Source organism: Homo sapiens, chromosome 5 (assembly GCF_000001405.40).
Source record: "Homo sapiens chromosome 5, GRCh38.p14 Primary Assembly".
NCBI lineage: Eukaryota > Metazoa > Chordata > Mammalia > Primates > Hominidae > Homo > Homo sapiens.
In genome coordinates this window covers 4,566,524-4,569,368 of record NC_000005.10, presented here as the reverse complement: position 1 = coordinate 4,569,368, position 2,845 = coordinate 4,566,524, and positions in this window count along the sequence as shown.

Sequence of the window (2,845 nt, the reverse complement as noted above, 5' to 3'; positions counted from 1 at the left end):
CATACCCAGATAGATCCAACATTCTATTATCACACTAGATAAAATGAACAATTCTTTAATATTAGTTTAACCCACAACATTTGCTCAGTTTTCTATTTTTTCCAAATGAGTTGTAGAACTGATTTTATCAGCTTCATGTCTTTGCATTGCATTGCTGTGATTTTTTTTTTGTTATTTTAAATACAGAATAGCCCTTCCTCTTCAAATTCTTAATTTTTCTTCATGATAATAAACTTTTTTAAGAGATCAAGGCTTATGATTACTTTTTAGTGCCAACATTCTGGACGTGTCACATTATTTTCTCATGCAGTCTAACTTGTTTCTGTAGCTCTTATATTTTCTTTGAACTCAAGGTTAGGTCTACATTCATGGTCATTTTAGCAAGAGCACTTCCTGTGTGATATTACATGTGTGAGATTTCAGTGTGTCAGGAAGACCTCATGTCATATGGCCCTGTCATTATGATGCTAAATTTAATCACTTGGTTACAGTGGCAACAAACTTGCATCTGATGGATTTAGCATCCACTGATGATACTGCCTGCATAAAGAATTTTACTGGGAGATTGCAAACTTATTTTTAATTCTATTATTGCTTCTATATTTATAAATTGACGTTATGATGTAAGAATACCTTTAACTCATAAATGGGGGTTATCTATACTTCCATCTAAATTTTTTGAGGAAGGAATTAACACCTTCCATTTAAAATATATTCCTCACAGTATGGAGTTGATGTCATAGTCACCTGCAGTGATGGACAGTGAATTTATTTGTTTTTGCCACTCCATATATAATAAAGTAACACATTTTATTAGTTTGACATGCTACAATCAATTACATTTATCATTTTTGGTTGACACCAATGATTCCCCAATTTAGCAAGTTAAAAAGGAAGAAGCCAGGAAGTGTGTGCTAATTTTTGTCTTTTTGATGAAAGACATTTTAACTGGGGTGAGATGATATCTCCTTGTAGTTTGGATTTGCACCTCTCTGATGATTAGTGATGGTGAGCAGTCTTTCATGTAACTGTTGGCCATCTATATGTCTTGTTTTGAGAAATGTATTTTCAGATAAATTGTGCATTCTTCAGTTGGATTATTTGTTTTTGTTTTACCATTCATTGTTTGAGTTCCTTATATATTCTGGTTATTAATCCTTTGTGAGTTGAATAGTTCACAAATATTTTCTCCTATTCTGTAAGTTACCTCTTCATGTTGTGGAACATTTTCTTTGCTATGCAGAAAATTTTCCACTTGATATGATCCCATTTATCCATTTTTTTGCCTTTATTGTTTATTCTTTTTAAATCTTACTCAAGAAATCTTTACACAAACCAGTGTCCTGAAACCTTTCCCCAATGTTCCCTTTTAGTAGTTTCAGAGCTTGAGGTCTTACACTTAAACCTTTAATTCATTTTGATTTGATCTTTCTGTATGGTGAAAGGTAGGGGTCTAGAGTCATTCATATGCACATGGATATTTATTTTTCCCAGCACCATTTGCTGAAGAGGCTGCCCTTTTCCCCATGCATGCTCATGATGCTTTTTTCAAAAATGAGTTGACTGTAAATGCATGGATTTATTTCTAGGTTCTCTATTCTCTTCTATTGGTCCACATGTCTGTTTTCATGCCAGTACCATGCTGTTTTGGTTATTATAGCTTTGTAGTAAAATTTGAAATTAGGTAATGTGATGTCTCCAACTTTGTTCTTTTTGCTCCAAATGGCTTGGATTATTCTGGGTCCTTTGTGGTTCCATATAGATTTTTTCTATTTCTGGGGGGATTGTCATTGGCATTTTGATAGGGATGTCATTGAATCTGTAGATTGCTTTTGGTCATATGGACATTTTAACAATATTGATTCTTCCCTTTCCTGGACATAAGATACATTTCCATTTCTTTGTGTCCTCTTTAATTTCTTTCATACATTTTTATAGGTTTAATTATAGAGATAATTTATATTTTTTGTTAAGTTTATTCCTAAGAATTTTAATGTTTGAGCTATTGAAAATAGGTTTGCTTTCTTGGTTTCTTTTTCAGATTATTTGCTATTGGCATATAAAAATATTACTGATTTTTATATGTTGATTTTGTATCCTGTAACTTTACTGAATTTGTTTATCAGTTCAAACAGGTTTTTTTTTTTACAGTCTTCAGGTTTTTCTAAATATAAGATATTTAGATGTCTGCCAACAAGGATAATTTGGCTTCTTCCTTTTTAATTTGGATGACCTTTGTTTCTTTCTCTTGTCCCATTGCTCTGGCTTGGACTTACAGTACCATGTTGAATAAAGGCAGTGAAAGTGGGCATCATTTTGTGTTCTAGCTCTTAGAGGAAAGGCTTTCAGTTTTTCCCTGTTCAGTATGATATTAGCTCTGGGTTTGCCATAAATGGTCTTTATTATGCTGAGATATGTTCCTTCTATACCCAGTTCATTGAGAGCTTTTATTATGAAAGAATGTTAAATTTTATGGAATGCTTTTTCAATGTCTATTAAAATGATCGTATGGCTTTTATTTTTCATTCTGTTGACGTGATGTATCACATTTATTGAATTGCATATGTTGAACCATCATTGTATCCCTTGAATAAATCCTACTTGATTATGATGATATTTTTAATTTGTTATTGAATTCAGTTTGCTAGTATTTGGTTGAGAATTTTTGCACCTATTTTCATCAGAGGTATTGGCCTGTAGCTTTTTTTTTAAATGTCTCTGTCTGGTTTAGTATCAAGGAAAAGTTGGAATTATAGAATAAATTTGGAAGTAGTCCCTCCTCTTTAAATTTTTGGAATAGCTTGCATAGGATTGATATTAGTCTTTCTTAAAATGTTTGGTAGAA